The 16,708-nt window shown below is 35.6% G+C and overlaps 1 long non-coding RNA gene across 1 annotated transcript in view; it reads left to right on the top strand.

Moving 5' to 3' along the window:
• The window catches only part of LOC105374037 (uncharacterized), a 112,561-nt gene extending 98,620 nt beyond the window's left edge, over positions 1 to 13,941 (top strand). The window contains exon 4 of the long non-coding RNA XR_924328.3: positions 13,725 to 13,941. This is a non-coding gene — a long non-coding RNA (uncharacterized LOC105374037). The remainder of the gene's footprint in view (positions 1 to 13,724) is intronic.

Here is a 16,708-nt window from a genome sequence, read left to right as displayed (position 1 = left end):
AACTTTTTTTCAGATGGGATTGAGTTGCAAACTGCTTCTTGGACAGCTCTCTGGTCTCAATTTAGGCCTATGGTCTTTAAGTGAATCGTTTTTAGTCTGTTCTGTAAATGCATGATTCAGGAATTAGTCAGAGATGTGAGAAAACTTTAGGGATTCCCTCTATGACTCTTTCCCTTTGGCTATTCCCCGACTCTCTGCAGCATTTGTGGTTTCTCTGCTTCAGTATTCTGGTTCCCCAGGCCAGAAAGACTGTGGGCTTTTGGTACACATGTCTTTATTACTACTGTATGAGAGGTGTGGACTGAAATTAGTTCAAGGTTAAAAGCTGTGGGGACTGTTACTTCCCTGTCCAGCTTCTGTCTTTCTTCCTCAGGTTAGTCTGTGCAGAATCTGTTTCTGCTCAATCTCCAGCACCTTCAGGGAGTTGCTGTTTGCAATATGTCCAGATTTTATAGTAGTTTTCTTCAGCATGTTTATTGAGTAAGGTCTAAGATTTTTGTACCTACAAGAGGAAGAGGCTCCCTCTTGATGAATTGCTATAGTTTTTGAATCTGCTTTGAAGTATTCCTTGAATATATAATATTTAATGGCCTGCTAAATATTAAGTATTTTTGAGGCAAGGCAATGTCATGTTCATCTTCGTGGCTGTAGCACACAGTGAGTATTCAATATGCTTCTGTAGGATTTAGCTGAAATTAAACCACACTGACATAAAAGTATGCAATAGAGAAAGGATCTACCCACTAGAGGGGAGACGAACAGAGAGCTTCAAAGATGCTAATTGAGGCATAAAACTTATGCTATACTCATTTAATAGCATAAAGCTATATACAAGTCTCATTGTAGCAGGACAAGCCGCAGACAAAACTCCTCAGACACCGAGTTAAAGAAGGAAGGGGTTTATTCGGCCGGGGGCATCGGCAAGACTCCTGTCTCAAGAGCTGAGCTCCCTGAGTGAGCAATTCCTGTCCCTTTTTAGAGCTCACAACTCTAAGAGGGTGTGCGTGAGAGGGTCTTGATCGATTGAGCAAGCAGGGGGTACATGACTGGGGGCTGCATGCACCGGTAATTAGATCGGAACAAAACAGGATAGGGATTTTCACAGTGCTTTTCTATACAATGTCTGTAATCTATAGATAACATAACCGATTAGGTCAGGGGTCGATCTTTAACTACCAGGCCCAGGGTGTGGCGCCGGGCTGTCTGCTTGTGGATTTCATTTCTGCCTTTTAGTTTTTACTTTTTCTTTCTTTGGAGGCAGAAATTGGGCATAAGACAATATGAGGGGTGGTCTCCTCCCTTATCATAAGTACAAAACCCTCTCAGATGACCAACTTGTACATTTTAAATCCCTTAGTGGCTGCCCTTTTTGTTTAACATGAGCTCATCTTGTTTAAACTATACTAGTAGAGAATGAAGCTAGTGTATCATTTTTTCAGGAATTCCAGAGCCTTTACACATGAGAGCAGCTCGGAGAGGATAAACATAGCAGAGAAAAGGTAAAGAAGGAAAGACAGTACATCCAAGAACACCACCAACTTTGACTGAAAAATGCCCTCTTACTTCATTAACGTATTCCATCTTAATCACTGTGGATGCAGTAGTTTTCTATATCAAGACAATCAATTCATTGCAGCAGAGTTTAAATATTCTGCACTCTGGGTTATAGGACTTCATTTTAAATAAAAATGTTATGTATGCTGAGGCAATTGAAAACATTTTATTGCTCTTAGTATTGTGATATCCAGACATATATTCTGGCTTTCCATTTTCTCTTCACTGATTAACTTTGTAGAAAAGTCATAGGCCTTGAATGTTTTATAAATTAAATTGTTGATCTATCAATAAAATTTTAATATTTATTTTGTGATCAATGTAATGTTTCTTCATTTTTAAGATGTTAGAAGGTTTTTCCAAAGTCAATCTGAGTTTAACTTTCAGTTTGAAATAAATTAAGTTGAAGTTTTAGTACCAGATTTTAAAAAAGAAAGAAAGAAAGAAAGGAAAAAAAAACTGTAAAGTGCTCTTTTGCCTACAACAATAGTAATCAAAAGGCTAAAATTATCCAGGTATTGAATCCCGATATGTGAGAATAAAAGTGCTTTTTGAGTACAGAAAAACTAAGTATGAAAATATTCCTTAAACTTTGGAGAAGATTAAGGAGTAAAGAGCACAAAGTTTGCTCTTAATCTGATGCCCAGAAATAATGGACCATTCTTTCTAAGTAGAAAGTTTTATAGACTATTTTATAAAATTGCCACATAGGCTAACTCTCAACTATCTTCATTTATAATACTAACTTGTGCCCAACACAGCTATTTCCTCTTCTCATACTACCTATATAACTAAGTAAACATATGGTGCTGTCTATTTGAGTTTCATTATGGAAAAAATGCATGCAAGAAGACAACAGTATTTGTATTTTCTATATCTGAGTATTCTGATTAATATAAAGTCTTAATGAGTTATTTCACTTGTTGAAAGATTATAACAAAAAGATGTAAATACACCATTTACCTAACAAATAAGAATAATTATCTGGTAATTGGAGAAGGGTATTTCTGTCTTGTTTAGAATTTTCAGAATAATACTTTTGATTATCTTGAATACAGACAAACAGCAATGATATATTTTAATATTTTATTGGAGATTATTTCTTGTGAACACTAACTACTACTGGAATTTAATTATTCAGTTTTAAATTAAAATATGGCTTTCCAATTTAAGTTACATAATGACCTTTCCTATGATCTTTAAGAAAAAAAGTCACCATTAAACTTACACTTTAGAAGAAGGTTCACCATAACTATATCAAATCAAAGAGGATTAAACTATTAAAGAAGGAAAATATGAGTATATTTTTCCAAATAGTGATCAACCTTTTCACTTCTCAATAAATAAATAAGTAAATAAATATTTTCTTGTTTATCAATATATTTGATCTTAAGAAAATCATTTAAAATGCATCTTAAATTTGTTATACACTGGTTTCATGATATTGTAGTGAAATCTTAAGGATATCAATTTTATTTGATAATATAATGTACTTTATTTAAAATTCTGAAATTAGATTCTATAGTAGCATTTAGTTCTGCTATACAAAGAGATGAGATCAATTAATCAGAAAAAATATATTTATTGATCTTCCTCCGTGTTCAAATTAACACTTGGCTGGATTGTCTAAGGATTGTTAAATAATGAAAAAATAAATTTTATTTTGCTCTTATGTAGGCTAAAATAATACAAAGCTTGAGCTAAACAATTTTACTCACATGTATTGCAGCAACATGTGAATATATTACATTTAAGAGATTTCAACTTAGACGTTCTGAATATTCACTTCAATTATGAATGGAATAGGTAGTTTTATATAGATAAAAACAATGAACTTATTTTAAGTAGCGAATTTATAAATTCACAAATGAACATCAAGGTGACTTACTTTTGAATATTGTGTGGAAGAATATGAAAGGCCTTTATTCTGGCTGAAAGAGCAAAAAAAGTAAAAGGATTAACCAAAAAATCATACAGTTAAAAATTTCACTGAAGACTTATGTACACAAATAAATCTAAAACATCTAAACTCCACAGGGACAAACTTTTCCAGTTGAACAAGTAACAGAAGATGCTTTAATATTTGAACCCACCTGTTGGTGTTGGGGAAAGGGGAGCTACAGCTTACAGATCAGGACTTTGTCCAGAGAAGGAGAAACCAGCCAAACTTTTGATGAACTGTTGTGCTGGAATGTTGAATTTGAGTCTATAACATTGCCCAGCACCAAAAGAATTCTCTTCCTGAAGTAACTGTTTCATATGAGAATTTTGCTGAGTAAGTAGAAGTTGAAAGCAGCACTAGAAATTGGAAAGAGATCTCATGATCTCTGAATCTCACAATTTCCAAATCTCATGGCCCTGCAGTCCTAAGGTTTTCAGCCCCATGTTCTCATGGTATCAATGTCTGCCATTTTCAAACTCTCCACAATTTGGAGGTCTGGAAGTCTAATGGTGTTTGGTTCCAAGGTCCTATCTTAGGAAGAGACTTGAACTCACCTTCAAAACGTTTGAATCCAGAGGCAAAATAATGAAAGCTACAACGCATTTTAACCTCTGGTGAGATCAAATATATCAGCACCTTGTGACTATGTAGAAAGTTGGAAGCTAGGTGGAAAAGCAAAGAGATATTTCTTTAATCTCCTGGTACTTAAATTCTTCTGCCCTGCTAGAAAGACTAAAGTTTCAGCCTCTCTCTGAACTTATTCAAAATCTTATTGAAATAAACTAATCACAATTTTACTGTAGCTTCCTCACAAAGTAAAGACCTCTCATTAGTTATTTATTGCTGTACAACAAATTGCCACAAAAACATACTTATAATTGCACAGATTCTGTGGCTTAGCTTCTCCATTTGCTTTACAATTTCCCACAGTTTATAACGAAGGCCGAAGATCTTGCTATCTTATCTAAAGGGTCATCTGGGAAGGATCTTTTCCAAGCTTATTCAATGATTGTTGACAACTTCGATTTTTTTTAATGTTGTTTACCTGAGGGACACAGTTCCTTATTGCCTGTTGGCCAGAGGCCACTCTTAGTTCCTTGTCACATGGGCCTTTCTCAAATGGTGGCTTGCTTCATCAAAGTGTGCAAGACAAGAAGGTAATAGGGACAGTCAGCTATCAAGATGGAAGTCACACTCTTTTGTCAACTAATCATGGAAGTGCTATCTCATCACCTTCACATATTCTGTTGGTTAGAAGCAAGCCACTAAGTCTAGCTCACACTCAAGGGGAGGCCATTACAGAAGGTCAGCGATGCCAAAAATTAGAGTTAATTAGGGGCCATCTCAGAAGTCTGCTTATCATAGCCCTCTGTTGTTCTTTCAAACACACTTCTCAGAATTCAATAAAAAATACAAAAACTGCAAAAATTAGAAAAATGTCAATGGAAGAAGGGACAGATAATCAAGATGTTGAAAATATCAGTGAAGAGATTTAAACTAACTGTGATCAATATGTTAATGAAACCACAGGAAAATAATCAAGTAAAGTTAGGGGAAATTCCAGGAAGGATTCAGAAAAAAAAATCAAATATAATCAACAATATTAATATCTGATTGGACACAACCAATAAAAAAAATCAATAAATTTAAGGATAAGAAGATAGTGTAATTATTTAATTATTTCTAAATATGCTTAGATACAGACATGCTAAAAACTAAATATAAAACTCAAAAAAGCATGAGCATGACCTCTGCCAAATGGGAGTAGGGATTTACATAAATGTAAAATGATTCCCAGTGTGTCAGTAATCATATCAATTGAAACAACAAGTGCTTCTTTGTGGACCTTCTTTTTGTTAATCTCTTCCAATGGGGGAGCAAGTGAATATGGATCTAAATCTTTGCTATTTATGGTTGTAGAAATCTGGAGTATCAAAAGCACAAATGTTAACCTCCTGTATTATTTGAATGGGAATCTCTCCAGGCATTATCTCCTATTCTTCTTGCCTACTCTCCTGTGCTCTGGTCTAGTATTCCTATCTTTTACAATGTATTAAAATTGGATTTTTGGAGGCAAAGCATGATGACTGAATAGAAGCCTCCTCCATCATCTCCTCTCCTAAGATCACCAAATTGAACACAGAAACAGTACCTTAAAAGAACCAAAAATTAGATTTTAAACAGATATTTAAAAAGAGACACTGCAAAGAGTAGGAAAAATGGTCTTGAATTGCTGATACCACTCCACCCCCATTCCCTGGCACTGGCTGCCTGGCATGGAAAAGCTGTACACTTGGGGGAAGGAGAATGCAGTGATTGTGGGACTTTGCTTTGGAATTCAGTACTGCCCTGTCACAGCAGAAAACAACACCAAGCATGACTCAGCCAGTGCCCACAGAAGGAGCACTTAGACCAGCCCTAGTCAGAGGGGAATCGTCTATCCCACTAGTTGGAAATTGAGTTTTGGTAAGCCTTGCTACCATGGGCTAAAGGGCTCTGAGGTCCTAAATAAACATGAAAGGCAGTCAAGGCCATAATAATTGTAATTCCTGGAGAGGTCTTTGTGCTGTTCTGGGCCCAGAGTCAGTAGACTTGTGGGGCATGCAACTTATTGAGACACCTCCTGGAGTAGCCAAGAGAGCATTTGCACCATCCTTCCCCCAGCTCCAAGCAGTTGAGCTCACAGCTCTGGGAAAGACACCTCCCATCCACTTGAGGAAAGGAGAGGAAAGAGTAAAGGGGACTTTGTCGTACAACTTAAATACCAGCTCAGCCACAGCAGGATAGGGCACCAGGCAGAGTTAGGCAGTCCCCATTCTAGGCTTTAGTTCCTGGACAACATTTCTCAATATACCCTGGGTGAAATGAGAACCTGCCTGTTTGAAGAGAAGAACCCAGTCCTGGGACAGTTTATCACCTGCTGACTAAAGAGCCCTTAGGCCCTGAATAAACAATAGTGGTACCCAGGAAGTACTCACTGTGGATCTTGGGTGAGACTGAGAGAAATATTGGCTTCAGGTCTGACCCAGCACTTCTGCTTAAGAAAAAGAGAGAGAAGAGTAAAGGGATAAAGAGGACACTGTCTTGCAGCTTGGGTACCAGGTTGGCCACAGTGGGATAGAGCACCAACTGGGCTCTTAGCATCTCCGATTTCAGGCTTTGGCTCTTGGATGGCACTTCCAGACTTACCCTGCACCAGTGGGGAGCCAACTGACCTAAAGAGAGAGTCCCAGACCTGGCAGCATTCACCAGAGTCTGACTGGGGCATTGAATGAACATTAGCAATATCCAGGCAGTACTTGCTGTGGTTCTGGGGCATTGGTGGCCACAGGGAGACACTCCTCTACTTGTGTAAAGAGGAGGAAATAATGAGGAGGATTTTGTCTTCCAGCTTGGGTGCCAGCTCAGCTGCAGTAGAATAGGGCATCAGAAAGATTCCTAAAGTTTTTGCCATCATGCCCCACCTAGAAGACGGCATCTCAGGATCTACCTGGGACTGGGGAGTCCTTGCCACTCTGAAGGGAAAGATACAAGCCTGGCTGGATTTGTCACTTGCTAATTGTAGAGCCCTAGCCCTTAAGTAAATGGAGGCAGTGGCAATGCAGTTGTTAAAACAGGTTTTGGTGAGACACAGTGCTGTGCTGGCTTTTGGTGGCGGCCACAGGAGTGTGTTATGCCATCCCAAGCTCCAGGTAGCTCAGCACAGAGACAGGGAGAGAATCCATTTATTTGGAGAAAAGAAAGGGAAGAGAGTAAGAGACTCTGTGTGGTAATACAAATAATTTTTCCATATATTATCTAATAAGACTATCAAGATAGTACCTCAACGAGTCTGCAAGATCCACAATGTTACTGGGCTTGGGATGTTCCCTAATGCAGATAAGATGGCAGTGAGCAAAAACTTAGATAACAACATCCAAGTCCCTTTGAATACCTGGAAGGCCTTCCCTAAAAAACATAGGTACAAACAAGCCTAGACTGTGAAACCTACAATAACTACATAATTCTTCAATTGCCCAGACGCTGACAAACATCAACAGGCAACAAGACCATCCAGGAAATGGCCTAAACAAAGTAAATAAGGCACCAGTGACTAACCCTATAGGGCACAGAATATGTGATATTTCAGAGAGAAATCAAGCTACTTGGTTTGAGGAAACTCAACAAAATTCAAGATAACACAGAGAAGGAATTCAGAATGCTATCAGATAAATTTAACCAAGAGATTGAAATAATTAAAAAAGAAGGAGAAATTCTGGAGTTGAAAAATTCAACTGACATACTGAAGAATGCATCAGGATCTTTTAACAACAGAATAGGTCAAGCAAAAGAAAGAATTGGTGAACTTGAAGACAGCCTATTTGAAAATACACAGTCAGATGAGACAAAAGAAAATAAATTTTCTAAATCTTCTAGGTGTGTTTCACTCTTTTTTACTTATATAAAAGCAAAAACTTATATAAACATGAAGGAGAAGACTTTCTCAGACAAACAAAAGCTGAGAGATAACACCAGACCTGTCTTACAAGAAATGCTAAAGGAAGTTAGAAAAGAAAGTTAATGAGCAATAAGAAATCAACTGAAGGTGCAAAACTCACTGGTAATAGTAAGTACACAGAATAACACAGAATATTAAAACACTGTAATTGTGATGTATAAACTATTCATATCTTGAGTGGAAAGACCAAAAGATGAACCAGTAAAAAATAACTACAAAACTTCTCAAAACATAAACAGTACAATAAGGTATAAATAGATAAAACAAACAGTTTAAAAGTGGGAGAATAAAGATAAAATGTAGTGTTTATTATCTTTCTCTTTGCTTGTTAGTTTGTTTATGCAATAAATGTTATCAGTTTAAAATAATGGGTTTTAAGATAGTATTTGCAAATTTCATAGTAACTACAAATTTTAAAAAAATCTACAAAAGATACACAAAAAACAAAAGGCAAGAAATGAAAATATACCACCAGAGAAAATATTCTTTACTAAAAGGAAGAGAAGAAGGGAGAGAGCACAAAACAACCACAAAACACATAACAAAATGACAGGAGTAAGTCCTTACTTATCAATAATATTACTGAGCGTAAATGGGTTAAACTCTCCAATTAAAACACAAAGAGTGGCTAAGTCAATAAGAAAACAAGGCCTAAAGCTCTGTTACCCAAACAGAAACACATTTCACCTATAAAGACACACAGAGATTGAAAAAATAAAGGGTTAGAAGATATTCCATGCAAATGGAAATTTTAAAAAAGCAAAAGAATATATACTTATATCAGACAAAATAGATTTCAAGACAAAAACTATAAAAAGAGACAAAGAAGGTCATTGTACAATAATAAAGGGTTGAATTCAGCAAGAAGATTCAACAACTTTAAAGATATATGGAACCAACACTGGGGCACCCTGCATATAAAGCAGATATTAGAGCTAAGAAGAGAGGTAGATCCCAATACAATAATAATCGGAGACATAAACACCTCACTTTCAGCATTGGACAAATTACATAGGCATAAATTCAATAAATGTTGGATGTAAGCTGCACTATAGAACAAATAAACTTAATATTTATTTACAGAACCTTTTATCCAATTACAGAAGAATGCATATTCTTCTCCTCAGCATGTAATTCTCAAGCATAGATCATACGTTAGGCTGCAAAACAAGTTTTAAAAAATTCAAAAAAATTCAAATTATTTCAAGTATCTTCTTTGACCACAATGGAATAAAACTACAAATCAATAACAAGAAAAATGTTGGGAGCTATACAAACAGTTGAAAACTAAACAATATGTCTCCAAATAACCAGTGGGTTAATGAAGAAATTAAGAAGGAAATTGAAAATTTTCACGAAGCAAATGCTAATGGAACACAACATGCAAAAACCTATGGGACACAGGGAAAGTTTTACTAAGAGGAAGGTTCATGGCAATAAGTGTCTACATCAAAAAAGTAGAAAAATTTCAAATCAACAACCTAATGATACATTTTAAAAAATTAGAAAAGCAAGAATGAAGTGTACCCAAAATCAGTAGGAGAAAAAAATAATAAATAATAAATTTTATTTATCAGAAATAAATGAAATTTAAATGAAGAAAACAACCCAAAAGATCAACAGAATGAAAAATTGGGTTTTTAAAATGATAAACAAAATCTACAAACCTTTAGCCAGACTAAGAAAATAAGAGAGAAGATCCAAATAAATAAAATCAGAGATGAAAAAGGGGAGATAATATGACTGATAATGCACAAATTCAAAGATGACTAGGAACAACCATATGCCAGTAAATTGGAAAATATAGAAGAAATGAATAAATTTCTAGACACATGCAGCCCAGCTAGATTGAACCATGAAGAAATCCAAAACCTAAACAAACTAGTAACAGGTAATGAAACTGAAGCTGTAAAGAAACATCTGCCAGCAAAGAAAAACCCAGAACCCCATGACTTTACTGTTAATTTTTACAAACATTTTAAGAAGAACTAATAACAGTGCTACTGAAACTATTCTCCCCACCCCCCACCGAAAAAAAGTGGAGGAGAAAATACTTCCAAACTCGTTCTATGAGGCCAGCATTATAATAATACCAAAAGCAGACAAAACATATTAAAAAAAAAAAAAGCTACTGGCCAATATCCCTGAAGGCCATTGATGCAAAAATCCTCCACAAATTTCTAGCAAGCCACACTCAACAACACATTACATTAACCATAATTATTACCAAGCAGAATTTTTCTAGGGATGCAAGGATACTTCAATATATGCAAAACAATCAATGTGATATATCATATCAATGAAATGAAGGACAAAAATCACATGGTCATTTCAATTGATGCTGAAGACCTAATTAATGAAATTCAACATCCCATCATGATAAAAAAAAAACCATAAAAAACTGGGTATAGAAGGAACATACCTAAACACAATAAAAGCCATATATGACAGACCCATATCTTGTATCAGTGAATGGGGAAATACTGAAAGCCTTCACTTTAAGATCTGGAATAAGAGGAGAATGCCCACTTTTACCAATGTTATTCAACATAGTACTGAAGTCCTAGCTACAGTAATCAGACAAGAAATATAGGGCATCCAAATAGGAAGGAAAGAAGTCATATTATTCTTCTTTCCAGATGAGATAATCTTATGTTTAGAAAAACCTAAAGATTCCACCAAAAAAAGTTAGAACTCTAAAAAAAATTCAGTAAAATTGCAGGATACAAAATCAACATGCAAAAATCAGTAGCATTTCCATATGCCAACAGCAAACAATCTGAAAAAGAAATTAAGGGATGTGGGAGTCCGAGACCAGTAGATCACCTGAGGCCAAGAGTTCAAGACCAGCCTGGTCAACATAGTGAAACCCCATCTCTACCAAAAATACAAAAAAAAAAATTAGCCAGGCATGGTGGTACATGCCTGTAATCACAATCACAACTACTCAGGAGACTGAGGCAGGAGAATCCCTGGAACCCAGGGGGTGGAGGTTGCAGTGAGCCGAGATGGCGCCACTGCACTCTGCCCTCCAGCCTGGGTGACAGAGTGAGACTCCATCTAAAAAATAAATAAATAAATAAAATTTTAAAAAAGTAAAAAAAAATCAAGGAAAAATCTCATTTGAAATGGCTAGAAATAAAATAAAATACCTAATAATTAACCAAATAAGTGAAAGATGTCTACAGTAAAAGCTGTGAAACACTGATGAAAGAAATTGAAGGAAAGACAAATAAATGGAAAGATATCCCATGTTCATGGATTAGAAGAATCAATATAATTAAAATATCTATACTAACCAAAGCAACCTACAGATTCAATGTGATTTCTATTAAAACACCATGATATTCTTCACAGACATTGAAATAAAAAACAATTCTAAAATTTATATGGAACCACAAAAGATCCAGAATAGCCAAAGTTATCCTGAGCAAAAAAAACAAAACTGGAGGAATTACATTACCTGACTTCAAATTATAGTACAGAGCTATTGTAACCAAAACATCATGGTACTGTCATGAAAACATGCACATAGACCAATGGAATACAATAGAATCCAGAAATAAATTCATACATCTACAGTGATTTCATTTTTGACAGGGGTGCCAAGGACATACTTTGGGGAAAGGACAGCCTTTTAATAAATGATGCTGGGAAAACTGGATGTCCACAGGCAGAAGAATGAAACTACACCCCTATTTCTCACTATATGTAAAAATCAAATCAAAATGGACTGAAGACTTACACTTAAGACCTCTAACTATAAAATTAATAAAATAAAACTCTGGGGAAACTCTCCAAGACAATGGACTGGGTGAAGATTTATTGAGTAAGATATCATGAACACAGACAAGAAAAGCAAAAATGAACAAATGGGATCACATCAAGTCAAAAACCTTCAGCACAGCAAAGGAAACAACGGGGTGAAGACACAACCCAAAAAATGGAAGAAAATATTTGCACACTATCCATTTAACAAGGTATTAAAACCCAGAATAAGTAAGGAGCTCAAACAACTCTGTAGGAACAAATCTAATAATATGATTCAAAAATGGGCAAAAGATCTGGGTAGACATTTATTAAAAGAAGACATAGATGGCAAACAGGTACATTATAAGGTGCTCAATATAACTGATTGTCAGAGAAATGAAAATCAAAACTATAACGAGATATCACCTTACCCCAATTAAAATAGCTTTTATTCAAGAGAAAGGTAATAATAAATGCTGGTTGGCATGTGAAGAAAAGGAACCTTTGTACACCGTTGGCGGGAATATAAATTATTACAATCACTATGGAGAATAATTTGGAGCTTCCTGCAAAAACTAAAAATAGAACTACCATATAATCCAGTAATGTCACTGCTAAGTATATGCCCTCCAAAAAGAAAATCTGTATTGAAGAGATTTCTGCACTTCCATGTTTATTGCAGCATGATTCGCAATAGCCAAGAATTAGAAGCAACCTAAGTTTCCAACAACACATAAATGAATAAAGAAATGTAGTACATGTACACAATGTAAAATGTGTAAAATGTACACAATGGAGTACTATTTAGTCATAATAAATGATATCCTTCATTCAAAACTGCATGGGTGGTAGTGGAGTTCATTTGGTTAAGTGAAATAAGCCAGGCACAGAAAGACAAGCTTCACATATTCTTACTTATTTGTGAGATCTAAAAATTAAAATAATTGAACTCACAGAGATAGACAGTAGAATGATGTTTACCAGAGGTTATGAAGGGTGGTGAAGGTTGGGGAATGGTTAATGGGTACAAAAAAATAGAATGAATAAGATCTAATATTTGATAGAACAACAGGGTGACTACAGTCAACAATTTATGATACAATTAAAAATAACTAAAAAAGTATAATTTGATTGTCTGTAACACAAAGAAAGGATAAATGCTTGAGGTGATGGATACCCCATTTACCCTCATGTGATTATTATGCATTGTATGCTTGTATCAAAATATCTCATATTTGATATTCCATAAATATATATACCTATTATGTAGCCTTTACAAATAAAAATAAAAATAAATTGGATTTTTGTGTCTCTGCCTCTTTTCTTTGGAGTGATACCTCAGTTGGGTGGTACATGTTCCTTTCATCTACACTGTGTTGGATCACTCGGATCACCCATTCCGTACCCTCTGGCCAGTCCTTGGCTCCTATTTATCCAAAACAAGACAGTGGTTCTTAATATTGTTTTCACTGTGTAGTTTTCCTAGATGAATGAGAAATACTATCTTGGTGATTAATTTTAAACTAGACATAAAGATAAGTATTGGCAGTATTAGCAGGATGCTGTGGAAACTAAGCAAGAACCTTAAGCATATATTCCATCTAACCTGCCTCTTCTGGATACTTTTGACGGGTTTAGTTTTTAGGGTGTGAGGCAAGGATAACATTAGATTTTTACCATGATCTTTAACTACTTATTTAATCCAATATTGTTTTTAACTTTCTATACACCAGGCACTTTCTTAAGCACTGAGAATTAGAGAACATGACAGACAGGCATCCTTGAGTGTTGAGTCTTTATGGATCAATCTTGTTTCCAAGTAGAGGAAAATCATCAATCTTGAGTGTTCTCTGCCTCTTTACCAATCCTCCCCAGAGAAGGTTAAATGTTTTATCTGATGGAGAATTTAGGATTGAGTACTAGGCATGCATGGCTTCACCCCTGTGGAAGTACTCAGATTTGGAATCTTTCTGCTTACAGGAAGCAAGTGCTCATATCTGCTTTCTGTTACGCGGTAAAAGGGGCATTTTCCACGGATCAGAGAAGGCCAATGTTAGTCCAGCTGTGACAACTAGTAAGGTGAGTATTAGATATCTAACTCAATGATGTATATTATCATGATTATTTGGTCATACATCTTTATTCCAAACTTTTTCTTCTTTTAATAAGTCAATAATAAAACTAACATCTTAAAATCTCTATGTGTTCAATTCCTGTGTCTATCTACCTTTCTTAGACAAGGAAGAATTTATCCATTAACCTCTAAAATCTCAATAGTGGGGTTAGACACAAGTACATCCAGTATAATGAGGGTTAAGATAAGCGTAATAAAGAATAATAGCACAGGGATACCTTACCCAGACTGGGAAGAGTGGAGCTGTCACAAAAGGATTTTTTTAATGAGTACTCACAGCATCTTCTGTTCTCTTTAGCTAGTGCCATGTGAAAAGTGAAAGCCAGTAGATTGTGAAATTTATGGGGACTGTATTAATTATGGAATCAGACCACTGAAAATAATTTTAAAGTTTGAGTCAATATATATAATTACATCTAAATTGAGTTATCTAATCATTTATTCAATAAGTTGTTATTAAATGCATATCCTGTGAAGTAAAATTTCTTTGAATAAGTAAGCTATACTCCTAAATTAGGGTCTTCCTTTACATTTACTATTTCTTCTTCTTAGAATAACACACCCCCAGATATTCATACAACTTGCTCCCTTCTGGGTTTTAGGCTTTTCCTGACCCAGTCTGTTTAATATTACTAGGTTGGTGCAAAAATAAATGCGGTTTTTGCCATCACTTCTCACACCAGTACTCCTCCCCACTTCTCTGCTTTATTTTTCCTTGGAGCTCTTATCACCATGTGACATAAAATAGTCTGCTCAAAACATTTCAAGTCTCCCCTCTCTCCCACAGAAGAATCCCAAGCTCTCAAGAAGGCCTTCAGAGCCCTCATGATAGGCTCCAGCTTCATTTCCTCTCTAATTCCATCTCTTTCCCTTATTGCAGAGTGATTTTAATCTAGGAAAGACGAGAAGAGATTTGGAAAGAGTTTCGTGCCGTGACTTAGGCTTAAAAGAATCTCTCTGGCCACTGGGTTGAGAACAGATTGGTAAGGGGTGGAAGGACTGTGGCCAAGATTGGAGCGGGGAAACCAGTCACAAGGCTACAGATTTAATCCAGGTGAAAGATGACGATGCTTTGGAACTGGGTGGTATCAGCACCTGGGAAGTGAAGAAAAGAGTCAGTTCTGGACATATTTTGAAAATAGAATCAACAGGATTTGATGAGATTGAATTTGGGACTTGAGAGGAAAAGAAGAACCATCACTGATTCTAGTGGTCCTGTCTCAGCAACCAGAAAGATGGCATCACACTTACCAAATGGAGAAGATTGTAGAATGTAGGTTGGGACTGAGATACAGGAGTACAGTTTGGGACATGTTGCATTTGAGTTACCTATTTGATATTAAAGTGAAGATCCTGAAGAGGGAGTTGGAAATAGAAGATTACAGTTTGAGAGAAAAGTGGGCAGGAGGTCTAAATTTGGGAGTGTTTGGCATAGTTAGTATTTAAATTTTTAGACTGAATAAGATCACCAACAGAGGGATTGTAGATAAAGCAAAGATCAATGGACTCATCCTTGGGGCACTTTGATGGTTGGAGGTCAAAGGGATGAAAAATAGCTGGAAAAAGGCAAAGGAGAATTCAGTGATGTGAAGGGGGAAATGATAAGTGTGATGTCCTGGAAGCCAAGACAGAAGTGTTTCAATGAATAAGAAGTGATTAAGTGTGTCAAATACTCCTGATAGGTCAAGTAAGATACATTGGCTAGAATACATTACCTAGATCACTAGAAATATGTTTGAGAAAATGTCAGGGGGATGAATTAAACTGCTGCTATCTTTTAGCCACATGAAAAGGCAGGGAGAAAAGTGTAGGTCAATTTTCAGTGGACACAAAATTTAGTCACAGTTTCATCCCAAATAGATAAACAATCACCCACACATAAATATGCACTCATACTTTCTTTTTATATCATGATTACTGTTGACAGATACCCAGCTCTCTTATAGGCCCACAGTACAATTGAAGGTGATATTTCTGTGGACACAATTCGGGGTATTTCATAGGATCTACCATGAGGAGGGACATGGTGTGGCAAAAAGATGTTTTGTATTTTACCTACACAACACTTTCATCAGGTAATTTCCAAGTTATGATCTACTCATTTTTGCATCACATTACCCCACACTGAATACCATTGTAGAATTATAGGATATTTTATCATATGGTTTATTTTGTATTCCATTGAGAAGTGCATCTCATGAAGACATATTTTGTAATTCTCAGAATGACTTATGTGAGAGCTCCTAAATAAAAATCTTGATAAGGGAATGTCCTTGGACTAAAAGTTCTACTGAGTTTCTTTCTTGATTAGCTTAACCACTGATAACCACCTGTGAACACATTTTCTCACACTCTGAAAGATTCTGTTAATGTTACTCTAATACTGTATTAACTTATAATTTTTTTTCCAACCCACTACTTCCTAAGCTATTTTTATAGTAGTTATTAAAGTCACTGCCTATTTATTTGTTCACAGTGAACGCAATTTATTATTAACTTTGCTACATTTAACAAGACATTATTACACCTGTTTGACATATAAAATATGAACCTAAAATCAAGCACAGGTGTAACTTGTCTAAACATTTGTATTGTCATTGAATTTTGGAAATTTAAAGAATTTTAATAGGTCCTTTTTTTCCTTTGTCATTCTGTTTCTTTCAAGAGTCATCAAATGACTCTATCCTTAAGCATTTCTTCCTGCCAATAACTACATGTTTTCCAATTTGACTTAGTTATAAAGAATTTAATAGTATTGGATATTCCTCAAATATAGAAAATACTCTCTCTTTTCTTGGTGAGAATTATCTCTTCCCAAGGACATTTTTTT

This window comes from Homo sapiens, chromosome 3 (assembly GCF_000001405.40).
Source record: "Homo sapiens chromosome 3, GRCh38.p14 Primary Assembly".
Lineage (NCBI taxonomy): Eukaryota > Metazoa > Chordata > Mammalia > Primates > Hominidae > Homo > Homo sapiens.
The sequence above is the reverse complement of the archived record's forward strand: the minus strand, read 5'-3'. Positions and strand labels throughout refer to the sequence as shown.